This window comes from Homo sapiens, chromosome 10 (genome assembly GCF_000001405.40).
Source record: "Homo sapiens chromosome 10, GRCh38.p14 Primary Assembly".
Lineage (NCBI taxonomy): Eukaryota > Metazoa > Chordata > Mammalia > Primates > Hominidae > Homo > Homo sapiens.
In genome coordinates this window covers 95,941,028-95,956,548 of record NC_000010.11, presented here as the reverse complement: position 1 = coordinate 95,956,548, position 15,521 = coordinate 95,941,028, and the positions used below count along the sequence as shown (strand labels likewise).

The 15,521-nt window shown below is 36.5% G+C and overlaps 1 protein-coding gene and 1 long non-coding RNA gene across 20 annotated transcripts in view; one reads left to right on the top strand and one right to left on the bottom strand.

Moving 5' to 3' along the window:
* Positions 1–15,521, top strand: part of ENTPD1-AS1 (ENTPD1 antisense RNA 1) — a 337,030-nt gene that overhangs the window by 133,687 nt on the left and 187,822 nt on the right. The gene's annotated exons all lie outside the window — the stretch shown is intronic.
* CC2D2B (coiled-coil and C2 domain containing 2B) overlaps positions 1–15,521 on the bottom strand; it is a 126,075-nt gene that overhangs the window by 77,197 nt on the left and 33,357 nt on the right. For 17 of the 19 annotated variants that reach the window (XR_002956979.2, XR_002956978.2, XR_002956977.2 and 14 more), the window contains 2 exons: positions 6,444–6,653; positions 1,058–1,155 (listed from right to left, as the gene is read on the bottom strand). Coding sequence is in view for 14 of the 19 variants with exons in the window: in XM_024447995.2 (XP_024303763.1) it covers positions 1,058–1,155; positions 6,444–6,653 (308 nt within the window). In the remaining 5 variants the exon portion in view is untranslated. Of the gene's footprint in view, positions 1–1,057; positions 1,156–4,059; positions 4,225–6,443; positions 6,654–15,521 lie in introns of those variants that run through there. The other 2 variants (XM_047425227.1, XM_047425226.1) reach the window with 2 other exon arrangements.

Genomic DNA, 15,521 nt, shown 5'->3' with positions numbered 1-15,521 from the left:
TGAATTTTTAAATTTTCATTTTATATTTTTCAATTCTATAAATTCTCTTTGGTTCTTCTTATATAAAAATAGCTCAAGAAGTACTCAATTATTTACTATATCTTGTTTGTAGATCATATTTTCAAGCTTGTCTTTTATTTTTAAATCATATTTTAAAAAGTTATATTATTTTCTATATTTGATAATTCTATTTTCTTAAGCTTTTGCTTGTATGAGCCTTCTATTATTTCTACTGGCTCTTATTCATGCTGTCTTTGTGTGTGTGTGATAGAAGAGGTTGTAAACTGTAAGCTCATGTTCCTTAAAATGTTATATCTTTGAATAATCTCTGAGCTAGGATTAAAATTGTGCTCTTTCAGAAAAAAATATGTATTTGCTTTGCCTGTTGTTTGGTGCCAATGCCAATCTGGGACTACTTTAAGTTAAATTCTAAATCTGAGATAGATTTTAGGCTAAATAAGTTGTATAAACTCATGTCAGAAGTCTGAATGAAGGCTGTCTTCTGATTATGAATACCTTCCAGTGAATTTTCCTGCTTTTAGAGATTCTGTGACACATGAATATGTTTTGTCTTGGAATTACTTTCCCAGTTATTTCATACTTTCATAACTTCGCTTTCCAGTCTATAAGCCAATGGCTCCCAACTTGTAGACCATGCTTTTTACAGGGGTCCTTAAATTCACTACTTGTGAAATATTGTCTTTAGACTGAAATAATAATATATCTTGCACATGTGTAAATGTGCACTAATTCTCAAATATATACTAACACTTCAGATCAATATAATCCAAGTCAATTTCAAAGTACTCATGAACTCATAGTTCTTCAACTTTTTAAAACAAATCAATGGATGTTAAAACTAGAACTATTTTCACATGGCACCCCTGTGAAATATTTTTACACAAACGTGGGTCTTAAAAAAGATTGAAACCATTTCTGTAATCGCCTAAAAAGTAAGGATTGTGTACTTTTCTTTATCTTCCATAGCAAGTGCAGTACTTTGTCTAAAGAAGTTACTTAATGAATGCTTGATGAACATGAATGGCTCAAAACCTACCTTATTTGCCAATAATAATCTTGTAAAGATTTTCTGGTCAGCTGGTTAATTTCTGAATTTTCATTTGACAATTTGGTAGCATCTGTCAGTGCTTTCAGCTATAACAAAAAAAAAAGAGCTCTTCGGTATATTTTATCTGCCTGTTACCATTGATCCAGTTCACCTGTAGGTCAAGGTGTGTGCAGCAGCCGAACAAATGTATAACTTTGTGTGTATTATTGGCTTATCTTCCACAATATATTTTATATAAGCACCTTGGGGAGGAACTGAGAAAGGCCTCAATATCTATGTAGGCAATAAACATCAATTTAGTATCTAATAACATCTAGTATCTTGAACATTACTAGACAATCAATTCATCAATTGATATAAAGAAATGCCATTAGATCAAGAAGGCATATTGAGCACAGGTATCAATCTTATCTTTCACCTAAAATCCCATAGTTACAGAAAAAATATATGTCTGTCTTTATCCACATTCATATCTATATACATATATTGATAACTATCTTTATGGATAAGTGCATAATGTAGGAAAACAAGAAGAATAAAATCAAGAGAACAAGATATACTGCAGAAGGTATAAAACAGAGTAACATCCATAGAGCAATAGAACTGGAGGAAACTAGGCCCTAAAACACATAAAGGAGACGTCTGTCACAGTTGGAGGTAATTTGTGGGAACTTCAAGACTAGAGTCAATTGATATAAACTTTCACTGGAAGACATACAAGAAGACCTAAACATAGGAAAACAAACTATATTCCTGGAAGAGGAAACCCAATTTTTATGAGGATCAAATTTCTTTCAAAATTAATGTAACAGTACAACACAATCACAATAAAGATGGTAACAGGGTTTTAAAAATAGAAGGTGACAAGCTAATTCTAAGGTTCATGTAGAAGATAAAATCTGTGGGGTATCCAAAAACATTCTAGAAAAGAACAACAAGGAGGCACTTGTGCTATGACATATAATTTAATAATTAAATATGGTAATGAAACAGTACGGAACTAGACAAATATGTCATATGAGGAACAGACAGTCCTCAAGCAAACCTATATATTAATAAATATGTGCAGCTGGTATAGGATAAAGTTAGTATTTTAAATCAATAGGGAAATAAATGATGGTATTTGGATATTAGGCTGCTCTTTTGGGAGAAAGAGTGGAGTTGGAGCCCAGTCTTAGCTGAGACACAGATATAAACTCTAGATAGAAAAGGCTAGAAATAATATACACACATGCCCTTTGACACACACATATATACTCACAAATCCATATGTATACACATACACAAATACATATATAATATATACCATAAGGATATATAAAAGGAAGTCTTTATAATTTTGGTCTGTCAGACACTATTCATTGCCCTTAAAGGATCATTTTTCTTTGTTGGCAGAACACCAGTTTTGTTCAATTGCTCAATCATTTTCCATGTGTTTTTGAGGTAAACTGATTAGTGCAGCTATTTGCAGCCATTTCATTCTTGCCAATGAATGGCTTAGGCATTATCATGCAAAATAATTCTAGTCAATGAAATATCAGGGGAAATCTGCTGCAGGGCAGGAGAGAGATTGGAGAAGGCTCTCAATGTGAGACACTACGCTGCATATTGTGTGTCTGACCAGTATGCCTTCAACTGGAGCAGCCACTTGGTTAGCTTCCATAAGTAGAGCTAACCACAAGTCAACTTGCTGAAGATGAAGAGAAGGACAGAAAAGGCTAGGGTTGTTGATAATATCATCGAGACACCAAATTAACCAAACCTAGAGCTGCCCTAACTTGGACAATATGAGGTAATGCCTTTTCCTTATTGTCTGAAGTAACTGAGATGAAGTTCTCCATGAATTGCAACCAAAAATATGCTAATTGATAAACTTGGGGTAGAGAAGGTCTTAGGAAGCTTAGGAAGCAAACAAGAAAATCTAAAATTCACAAGGGAAAAGATGAACAGATTTGACGTCGTAAAAATGTAAAATGCTTGCCAAGCTCAGTGGCTCATGCCTGTAATCCCAACAACTCAGGGAGCTGAGGTACGAGGATTGCTTGAGGCCAAGATTTCAAGGTCACTCTGGCAATACAGCAAGACCTTGTTTCTTAAAATTTTTTTAAAAATGACCCGGGTGTTGTGGCATGTACCTGTAGTCCCAGCTACTTGGGAGGCTGAGTGAGAGCATCACTTGAGCCCAGGAGTTAGAGGCTGCAGTGAGTTATAATTGCACTCTGGGGGACAGAGTGAGACCTTTCTCAAAAAAGAATTTTTTTTAAATTTAAAATGTTTGCCAAAATATATAATAAAGTTTAAAAGCAAGTAACAGAATAGGACAAAAATATACAAAACATATTTAAAAGACATACTTCTTTTATGGACTTACATCTAGAAAAATATATATATTCTTTTTTAACTTGTGAATTAATTAAAAATAAAGCTAGAGAAAAATACTGAATATTGGTGAAGGCTCTGGGAAGTGGGCTCTGTCCTGCCTTGCCAGTGGAAATTCAAATTGGAAAAACATTTGGGAAAGGCATTTTATCACTTTCTAATAAAATTCAAACTGCATATACCCTTACCTTTGACCAGGCAACTTCACTTCTATGGATCTATCCTATAGAAGTTTTCATATATGTGTTCAAATATATAGGTACAAGGATATTCACTGCTTCATTATTAATCATAAAGAAATGACCTAAGTGCCATTGAATGGGAGTGATTAAATATATTAAAATAAACCTATATTATGGACTTATATATATATAGTGATACATAAAAAGTTCCAAGATAGAGTATTAATTTCAGAAAACCAGCTGGGCATGGTGGTGCACACCTGTAGTCTCACCTACTTGGGAGGCTGAGGTGGGAGGATTGCTTGAGCCCAGGAGTTTGAGTCCAGCCTGGGCAACATAACAAGATGCTGTATCTAAAAAAAACCAAGTTGCCAAATAATACATATGGTAAGATCCAATTTATGTTAAAAACAATCATGGCATACATACATATAGAAATACAGGGAGAGGAGAACTTTAAGGATGTACTCAAAGAACTAAAGGATGTCCAAACCATGAGGTGATGAACGAAGTAGGGCTTTCACATCTTGACACTTCTACAATTAATCTTTTCCAGGGAGAACGTATTCCGGTATTACTTGTACAATTTTTTAAAGCTAGAGGGAAAAAGAGCAGAAATCTGCATAGCTGAGCATCCTTTCTACTCTCTCATACTATCAGCAACATCCCTCTTTGTTCTTTAAGTGGAAGTCATACTCATATAAAGGAGCATATTTCAGTTTAAGAATTCCTTGGATGCCAATGACTCTTCCACTACTCTGAATTGGTTTGAAAACACTGGGAACAGGCAAAGCCATACATTTCACACCCAGGGACTAAATTATCCATGTTTAAGAAATTAATCTTTTAGTGGGAGGCCAATGAACATGCTCTGCACCACCTGGCCTTTTCTTCTCTTCCCCACTGCTCTTCTCTACCTCAGAAGAGAAGATTATGCACACTTCCAAGCACATTTCTCTTTTCACAATTTACTGGGAGTTAGAGAAAATGTTTACATTCACATAAGAGAATAAATTGAAAAAAAGCAAAAATCCACTGAGAAATTACATTTGGTTCCTAATACAATAATAATACTGAAACATATTGCAAATAATAACCCCAAAAGTTTTTATTTTATGCAGAGAGCCATGCATATACATGAAAAATAAACCCAGAGTCTATATATACTTTAATAGATGGTACTCTAATAAACTAAAATTGATATTGCTAAATCAGATTTTAAAGATTCTATAATATTGTGGGAAAAAATTCTATAAAGCAGAAATCTGTAGATCAAATCACTTTTTAAATGATCTGCATTTTAATCTGAGTTGTTTCCTTCATTCATTTAAAAAATGGCCATATTTTACTAAAAGTTAGAATATTCAATATTTATTTTAGGAAATCTTCTGATATTGCTAATGCATGGTGTTCATCTATTAAGTTCTCCCACACAATTGCTTCATCAAATCAAATAGATTAACTCCTGGCTGGGCATGGTGGCTCACACCTGTAATCCCACCATATAAGGAGGCCGAGGCAGGCAAATCGCTTGAGCCCAGGAGTTCAAGAGCAGCCTGGGCAACATGGCAAAAGCCTGTCTCTATGAAAAAGAAAAAAACTTTAGCTGGGTGTGATGGTGCACATCTGTAGTTCCAGCTACTTAGGAGGCTGAAGTGGGAGGACAGCTTGAGCCTGGGTTGAGGCTGCAGTGAGCCATGATTGAGCCACTGCATTGCAGCCTGAATGACACCTTATCTCAAAAAAAAAAATGGATTAAGTCCTGTGGGTTTTAAACTTATATTTTAAAAAGCACATATTAGCCGGGCATGGTGGCTCATGCCTGTAATCTCAGCACTTTGGGAGGCCGAGTTAGGCAGATCACCTGAGGTCAGAAGTTCGAGAACAGCCCGGCCAACATGGCAAAACCCCATCTCTACTGAAAATACAAAAATTAGCCGTGCATGTGGTGGGCACCTGTAGTCCCAGCTACTCAGGAAGCTGAGGCAAGAGAATCGCTTGAACTCGGGAGGTAGAGGTTGCAGTGAGCCAAGATCACGCCACTGCACTCTAGCCTCGGCGACAGAGCAAGACTCCATCTCAAAAAGAAAAAAAAAAGCAGATATTTATGAAGGTTCATAACAGATATTTATGAAGGTTCATAATTAGTTCATGTCCAGTTTATTGAGACGGCTTTGTGGCTCCATCAGGATTGAATGTTTCATTAAATAGCTTAGAGGGGATTTGATTTCAAATGTATTCATTAGTTGAATGAGACATACTATCAAAATACCTTTCCCAAGAGAACACTAGTCAACAAAATGCTCATATATCAGAAAACTAGCAGAGAGTTTAAATGAGGCACAAGTTTATAAAAGTAATCAGTGGGTACTCCTTCTATTTCTCTTCAGACTTCATATACCCCTCATGATGTCATGAGATGACTGTTTGGATTAATCATCTTCAGACCAAGACTCTTCAGGTTTGTTATGAGAGTCAAGATTTCTAATATTTTAATTAAAATACTTTATTATAAGACTTAAAACAGCCACATGGCTCTTTTCATTAATAATCATTTCAAATACTCTTCTTGAGTTATAGGACCAAGAATACCATTGATTAGTAAACCATTTGTGGTAAATAAATATCCCATAGGATATATTTAAAGCTTTCTCCCCAGCCAGTCAATTCCTACAGTTTCTTTTCAGAGAAACTGAAATTGAACCATTGTTCTACTTAAATATTTAGAAAATGTTCTGATAATTTGCTCTGCACAAGGAATTTTTTCTTTTTCAATATTAAATGTTTAGCTTTATAATGAAAGCCATTCTCACCTTCTCATAAAGCAGCTGAGATACATTCTGTTGCTGCCTGTCCTGAAAACATTCATAAAGTTGGAGAAGCCTTGCGCATAATACTTGCTCTTGATTGAAGAGATGATGATGGCTGAATTGCAAACCCACAATGTTGAGGTCTAACTGGTATATTTCCCTTGAACCTTCCATTTTGTTCATAAATGAACTTCCCAGGTCATATTTTACTGCCTTTTAAAGAAAAATAAGTGCACAATGTTAATTTGATTCAGTTTCTTTTGAAATTATAAGTAACTTTTCCTTACAAAAGTAACATTTCAATTGTAGGAAAATCAAGAGATATAGAAAAACAAAAAATAATAATTTGATTCCTTTTCCTTAAATTGATTATGGCCCTTAATTTCATCAAATATATTTATATTACAGCATTTTAATCATCTTACTATTTTTTTTTTTAATTTTTTTTTTTATTATACTCTAAGTTTTAGGGTACATGTGCACATTGTGCAGGTTAGTTACATATGTATACATGTGCCATGCTGGTGCGCTGCACCCACTAACGTGTCATCTAGCATTAGGTATATCTCCCAATGCTATCCCTCCCCCCTCCCCCGACCCCACCACAGTCCCCAGAGTGTGATATTCCCCTTCCTGTGTCCATGTGATCTCATTGTTCAATTCCCACCTATGAGTGAGAATATGCGGTGTTTGGTTTTTTGTTCTTGCGATAGTTTACTGAGAATGATGGTTTCCAATTTCATCCATGTCCCTACAAAGGACATGAACTCATCATTTTTTATGGCTGCATAGTATTCCATGGTGTATATGTGCCACATTTTCTTAATCCAGTCTATCATTGTTGGACATTTGGGTTGGTTCCAAGTCTTTGCTATTGTGAATAGTGCCGCAATAAACATACGTGTGCATGTGTCTTTATAACAGCATGATTTATGGTCCTTTGGGTATATACCCAGTAATGGGATGGCTGGGTCAAATGGTATTTCTAGTTCTAGATCCCTGAGGAATCGCCACACTGACTTCCACAATGGTTGAACTAGTTTACAGTCCCACCAACAGTGTAAAAGTGTTCCTATTTCTCCACATCCTCTCCAGCACCTGTTGTTTCCTGACTTTTTAATGATTGCCATTCTAACTGGTGTGAGATGATATCTCATTGTGGTTTTGATTTGCATTTCCCTGATGGCCAGTGATGATGAGCATTTCTTCATGTGTTTTTTGGCTGCATAAATGTCTTCTTTTGAGAAGTGTCTGTTCATGTCCTTCGCCCACTTTTTGATGGGGTTGTTTGTTTTTTTCTTGTAAATTTGTTTGAGTTCATTGTAGATTCTGGATATTAGCCCTTTGTCAGATGAGTAGGTTGCGAAAATTTTCTCCCATGTTGTAGGTTGCCTGTTCACTCTGATGGTAGTTTCTTTTGCTGTGCAGAAGCTCTTTAGTTTAATTAGATCCCATTTGTCAATTTTGGCTTTTGTTGCCATTGCTTTTGGTGTTTTGGACATGAAGTCCTTGCCCACGCCTATGTCCTGAATGGTAATGCCTAGGTTTTCTTCTAGGGTTTTTATGGTTTTAGGTCTAACGTTTAAATCTTTAATCCATCTTGAATTGATTTTCGTATAAGGTGTAAGGAAGGGATCCAGTTTCAGCTTTCTACATATGGCTAGCCAGTTTTCCCAGCACCATTTATTAAATAGGGAATCCTTTCCCCATTGCTTGTTTTTCTCAGGTTTGTCAAAGATCAGATAGTTGTAGATATGCGGCATTATTTCTGAGGGCTCTGTTCTGTTCCATTGATCTATATCTCTGTTTTGGTACCAGTACCATGCTGTTTTGGTTACTGTAGCCTTGTAGTATAGTTTGAAGTCAGGTAGTGTGATGCCTCCAGCTTTGTTCTTTTGGCTTAGGATTGACTTGGCGATGCGGGCTCTTTTTTGGTTCCATATGAACTTTAAAGTAGTTTTTTCCAATTCTGTGAAGAATCATCTTACTATTAACTATTGTAATCTATCTCAGTATTGTGTGCTGGTGGAGTGGAAGTTGGACTTTCAAGTTATAAAACCAAAAATAATTTCCTATAGAAACACTATGACAAATGGTGTTTAGAACCGTGGGCCAGAGTTAAATGAGAATTACTTATTAAAACATTGTTTATAAATGAATACACTGGTGATCCTCTGGGAAATTATCTTCAGGAGCCTGGGCCCTCTAAGCAATTCCCATAAGAAGAGCACCTGTTTTTGTACATGAGATTGTCTCCATTTTGATACCAGATTGTCCTTAAATTTCTGAAGTCTGTAGGCTTTAGATCATATGGAAGATGATTCAACTGTTTTAGTCCATCTTTTTTTTTTTTTATTTCTTGAGACGGAGTCTCACTGTGTCACCAGGCTGGAATGCAGTGTGCAGTAGCGTGATCTCAGCTCACTGCAACCTCCACCTCCCAGGTTCAAGCGATGCTCCTGCCTCAGCCTCCCAAGTAGCTGGGACTACAGGTGCATGCCACCACACCCAGCTAATGTTTGTATTTTTAGTAGAGACGGTGTTTCACCATTTTGGCCAGGATAGTCTTGATCTCCTGACCTCGTGATCTGCCCACCTCGGCCTCCCAAAGTGCTGGGATTACAAGTGTGAGCCACTGCACCTGACCACCTTTTTTTTAAGTAAAAGCAAGTTTATTAAGAAAGTAAAGGAATAGGCCGAGTGTGGTGGCTCATACTTGTATAATCCCAGCATTTTGGGAGGCCGAGGCAGGTGGACCACCTGAGGTCAAGAGTTCGAGACCAGCCTGGCCAACATGGCAAAACCCCATCTCTACTAAAAATACAAAAATTAGCCGGGAGTGGTGATGGGTCCCTGTAATCCCGACTACTTGGGAGGCTGAGGCAGGAGAATCGCTAGAACCCAGGAGGCGGAGGTTGCAGTGAGCTGAGATCACACCATTGTACTCTAGCCTGGGTGACAGAGCAATACTTTGTCTCAAAAAAAAAAAAAAAAATATATATATATATATATATATATATATATATTTTTGAGTCCACTATTTGGAATTTATGCACATGTTTGAATATGCATGTGCTCAATATCATTGGTTTTCAGTAATGCAATTTACGAGGGTTGGTGAGTTACTTAGCATATGCAGCCTGATTCATCAATGCCTAGCCACTCCTGATAAAAGCCATGAATGCATCAACCCAAATAGGAGCACACTGAGCCCACTCTCTGGATCAGTCTGGTGTAATATGATATGCTCTTCAGTCTGTGCCATTGCTATTACACCTAATGTTGTCCCACCCCTAACCTGGTGTGGCAGACCCAATGCTCCTCAAGGACTGAAAGCCATCTGTACGGTGCCTAAATCTCTGCCTCCTTATTTTTTCCTGAGTTAGGAACCTTTCCTTCTTCCTTACTGGGTTTCAGGGAGGCAGACAAACAGCAATAAAGCTTGTTTATGGCTGGTAAGTCTTTGTTCTTTATGTAAGAGCCAACCCATAAAAGGGGAAACCTGCTCTTGATTTCACCTGAGAGATTTAGACAATTGGTAATAAGTTGGTAAATTGGCCATTAAACAGGAAAGAAAACACCAAGGAAAAATCATTTTCCATTTAAAACAACTAAATTGTAAATGAACTTTTGAAAATTAAAGTTCCTAAGCTAGAGAATCCTGTCTTGTTAAGCAGATCCAGCACTGGTTGAATAACTGTGTTGCTCAGTTGCTTTGGGTTTCTAATGGAGTGACACAAGCCTCTGCCCTTGGTCCTGTCCTCTTCAGCACCTACTGACTACAGTGCTAAGAAGCTAGAGGAGGGTAAATGAGGTGGTGGAATATCTAACAACAACCAAAGGAGGCAATTTAGACTGGAGAGCAAAAACTAAAGGTGGAAGTGACTGTAGGCTTCAAACATTTGAGGAGGTGTCACATAGATGAAGTACTTTATGTGTTCCTTATGGCCAAAAAGGGTCAAATAAGTAGAAGTGACCTGGAGACAGACTTTAACAACAGAAAACAAAGAACAATTAGAACTGTCCGCTGGGCGTGGTGGCTCACGCCTGTAATCCTAGCACTTTGGGAGGCTGGGCGGGCAGGTCTTCTGAGGTCAAGAGTTCAAGACCAGCCTGGCCAACATGGCAAAACCCCATCTCTACTAAAAATACAAAAATTAGCCAGGCGTGGTGGTGCACACCTGTAATCCCAGCTACTCGGGAGGCTAAGGCAGGAGAAGTACTTGAACCTGGGAGGCAGAGGTTGCAGTGAGCTGAGACTGTACCATTGCACTCCAGCCTGGGCAAAAAGAGTGAAACTCCGTCTCAAAAAAAAAAAAAAAAAAAAAAAAGTCCAACATTAGAATGAATTCTTTTGAGAGGTAGCAAACTCCCTGACACATTGGTGAAAAGCAGCACTTGACCGAGTGAGTTAAATAGGCTTCTAGAACTAGGTAAGTGTGTTCTACCAAAAGCATAAAGATTTGGGCAACAATGAATCAAAGGCTACATAAAAGCACAAAAACATCCAAGCTGGTTGACATATAAAAATCTATGTAAATATATAAAAAGAGTGCTAGAAATGGGAGCAGAGGGAAGGTCATAGTCAAATGGTCAGACGAAACTAATCAGTAAATAGCAGGCAAATAGGGTACCTGGGATAGTAGAGGTACAACAAGCTGTTAAAGTACCTGGCAGAGGCAGAAGCAAAGACAGGACTCTGATATGCATACAACTATTATATCTACCTTGGTTGCCCTTATATTTATTCTGGTGAGAGACCGTAAATCAGCTTTTCCTTCAAGGCTGGCTGGGCAACACGAAAAATGTGAAGAAGATAGAAGAGAAAGGCAGGTAGAGGCATTTGTCTGACACAAAATCTAGGACATGATCTGTTAAGGATGCTACTGTCTTAGTCAATTTGTTCTACTATAACAGAGTACCTGAGGCTAGGTAAATTATAAAGAAAAGAAATTTATTCCACAGTTCTGGAGGCTGGGAAGTCCAAGATTAAGACACCACATCTCATGTCTAGTGTGGACCTTTTTGCTGTGTCCGCTGGAAGGGAGGAATGCTGTGTCCTCACATGGCAGATGGTGGAAGGGCAAAAGCCCCTTTATAAGAGCACCTAATCCATTGACAATAGCGGAGGGGCCTTAATGGCCTAATTGCCTTTTATAGGTCCTACCCCTTAATGCTATCACATTGAAAAAACCTGAATTTTAGAGGAGACACATTCAAATCACAGCAGCTGCAAGAAAGAATTTTAAAACTCAATTTAGACAGTTGGTGAGATGGCCTTTACATTTTTTCCAAATTATAGCAGTCCATGAAATCCTGTAATTGTGCTTGGATGAAGCTAGAACAGATGCACTAAAAGAAAGTTACTTGTTCAGCCCAGTGGTTTCCAACTTGGGATTCTAGATTATTACAAAGGTTAACCTGAATGGTGGTTAATATTTCTTCAATAATTGTAAATTATGCATTTACTTTTTATGATGCATTTGTTCATTTATTCATTCATTCAACAAATTGTTGTTGTTTCAAAGGCCTCTCTCCTAAAAGCAATGATCCCAGATAATTACACCAAAATATCTCTGCTATATCTGGAGCAAAATTTAGATAAAATGCATTGTCACTATAAAGTCTAGAAATTATGCCACATAATATCAAAGAATAAGATAAATAGCAGGGCTTTTCCCTCCTCTTTTATTCTTTTATGTTTTTATATTTTAATGGTGATAGATTCTTTTATAGTAAGCCAACTGGGAAAATACATGAAGATATTGTAATGTTTGGTATGGTGGTACCATTTATAAAATCTTGACAACTGTGTTCCACTATGAATTAGGATGGGGCAGAGACATTGCTAGTCTCTCATGGTATGATAAGCACCTTGTAGGAAATAACATTTTCTAAGATTATGCCAGTGAACTTCTGTCAGTCTTTATCTTCTAAATTATATTAGGACCCTAAAAGCATACAGTGACTGAGGTGATGAGTTCTATTACACATAATATAAGCATTCGTTCAATGCTAGGCATTTGGGTAGGTGTTAGCAATAAATTATAAAACAAGCCAATAAAACAAAACAAAAACCCTGCCCTGCTTGCAGTCAAGCAGAGAAAATACTAGGTAAACGGAAAATATAGATACAGAATGAGCCTCAACAAAACTGTAATTCAGTCTTTAAATCAGTTAAGTCCCTGGTTGGATGAAGATGATCATCCTCAATACGCTTAACAAAGCAAAGGATGGAACATTTCTGGTGGAAGATAACATCATCTCGGGCTTCTATAATTTTTCATATATAATAATGTAGAATACAATTTTTAAAATCACCTGTCATAATAAGAGGCAAGACTAAATGAGCAAAACCAAGAGAAAAAATAGATAATAAAAAGATTCATAGTGATCCAAATATTGTAGTTACCAGATATGAACTTTAAAGTAGCTATTATTACTGTATTAAAAATAGCAGCAAAAACCCATGAAAAGACTAAATATATCTCAAGAAAATTAGAATATTTACAGAAGAATTAAATGTCGAATGAACACTTTCAAGCAAAAAATGTATTGAAAATATGTAAAATTAAGAAGTCAGCAGATGGGCTGGTCTGAAAATATGGTGGCAGTACAGTTTTAGATCTTCCCAAATTCCTATATTAAAAGAGGCAGAGCAACTAGACAGCAAAACCAAAAATCCACGGACAAGATTTATAATAGAAGTAGTTCTCAAGAAATGCCTCATGAAACCCAAAACACAAGTCAGTGAAGACAAATCATCAATATTCAGAAGGTCTGAATAGCATTGGCGATTGTGTGGGAGATAGCAGAGAGAAGCAATGGAACATCTGATAGACCTGACAAGAGTCCAAAAGAGCCAACAGAAATGCACCAGAAAGTACAGCAGGCCAACTTAAAAACAGCAGCTAAAATTGGAACAGGTTTTGTCTACTCCAATTGTGGATGGTCAGGTTAAGGACCGAAGGAGCTGCAGGAATCTAGTTCCCAGGAATTTTCAGAATGAGCCTTCACACTGAATAGAAACTACTGGGAGTGAAATCGAAACTAAGAAGTATGGGGACCACAGGAATTAAGGAAAAAGGAGGTCCAGAAAAAAATCTGGGGAAGGGAATAGAGCCAAGACATTTCAGAAATCCAGCCACAATATATTTTAACACAACACAAAAACAACAGGTCTGTGAAAATAGAAAAGTTATTTGAACTGAGCCTTTTTATAAAAGTTTAGGAAAAATAATTTTATATAAAAATAAGCAGTAGAAAAGGATCAAGATTAAATCCATCAAAGTTTCTATAAGAAAAAAGAATAAACAGCAAAATAACAGCCTACAGGAAATCAAAGCACACCAGAAAGGTATCCAAAACCAGATAAAAATAGAAATGTGGTTTTCACAGTGAGCTGAATTTATATGGAAGTTATATGACATTTAAAAACATAAATCAGAATTAAACTCAGAAATTAGGTGAAAGAAAATGGCAAAAAATTTAAAATTTAGAAATTAAGCCTATACTAGAAAGAACACAAGGGCAAATAAACACTACCAAATCTTTTTCTTAAGGTGAAGAAGGGGATATTTTAAACATATAAAAGAAATAAAGGGAAAGAACTCATTGGGTGGATTTAACTGGAGATAAAATATGGCAGAAAATTATATAAGTGAATGGTTAAGACAGGTCAATAGAATATATGCAAACTAAAATTCAGAGAGAAAAAAGAATTTTTTAAAAAGCAAAAGTAGAAGACAAATTAGAGAAAATATAAAATCTGAATGGTCCTATTTTTTATGGTAAAAAATACAAAACATGAGATCTACCCTCGTTTAAGTTTACAGTACTATTAACTATAAGCACAATGTTGTACCATAGATCCCTAGGGCTTTTTCATCTTGCATGACTGAAATTCTATACCCTTTGAACAGCAACTCCCTATTTCTCTCTTCCCCAAGCCCCTGGCAACCGCCATTCTACCTTCTGCTTCTGTGAAGCTGAACTACTTTGGATACCTCATATAAGCAGAATCATGCAGAATTTGTTCTTCTGTGATTGACTTATTTCATTTAGTATAACATCTTCAAGCTTCACCCATGTTTTAGCATATGACAAGATTTATTATTTATGGCTACATACACCATGTTTTCTTTATTCAACTGTCAATGAACAGCTAGGTTGTTTCCACCTCTTGGCTATTGTGAATAATGCTGCAATGAACATGGGAATGCAAATATCACTTCAAAATCTTAAATTTAATTTTTCTGGATAAATACCCAGAAGTGAGATTGTTGGATCATATTACGGTTCTATTTTAAATTTGCAGAGGAACTCCATACCATTTTCCATAGTGGTCGCACCATTTTACATTCCCACCAACAGTGTACAAGGGTTCTAATTTCTCCGCATTGTTGCCAACACTTGTTATTTTCAGGGGATTTTTTTTTTAAATAATGACCATCCTAACAGGTGAGAAGTGATATCTTACTATGGTTTTGATTTGCATTTCTCTGACAATTAGTGATGTTAGGCATGTTTTATATGTCTGTTGGCCATTTGTATGCATCTTTGGTTTTTTTTGGAGAAATGTCTGTTCAAGTCTTTTTCCCATTTTTTAATTTGTTACTGAGTTAAATCAGTTCTTTATATATTTTGGATTTCAATCTCTTATCAGATATATGGTTTGCAAATATTTTCTCCCATTCCATAGGTTGCCTTCTGTCTCTGGTGATTGTTTCCTTTACTGCAACAGATGCATTTTAGTTTGTTGTAGTCTCACTTCTCTATTTTTGTTTTGTTGCCTACGCTTTTGGTGTCATATCCAGGAAACCACTGCCAAGAACGATGTTATAAAGGCTTTCCTCCACGTTCTCATCTAGGAGTTTTATAGTTTCAGGTATTGTTTTTAAGTCTTTACTCCATCTCGAGTTGATGTTTGTGTATGATGTAAGATAAAGGTCTGATTTCATTCTTTTGCAAGTGGATGTCCAGTCTTCCCAGCACCATTTGTTGAAGAGACTATCCTTTCCCCATTGTGTAGTCTTGGCACCCTCTTGAAGATCATTTGACTGTATATACATAAGTTTATTT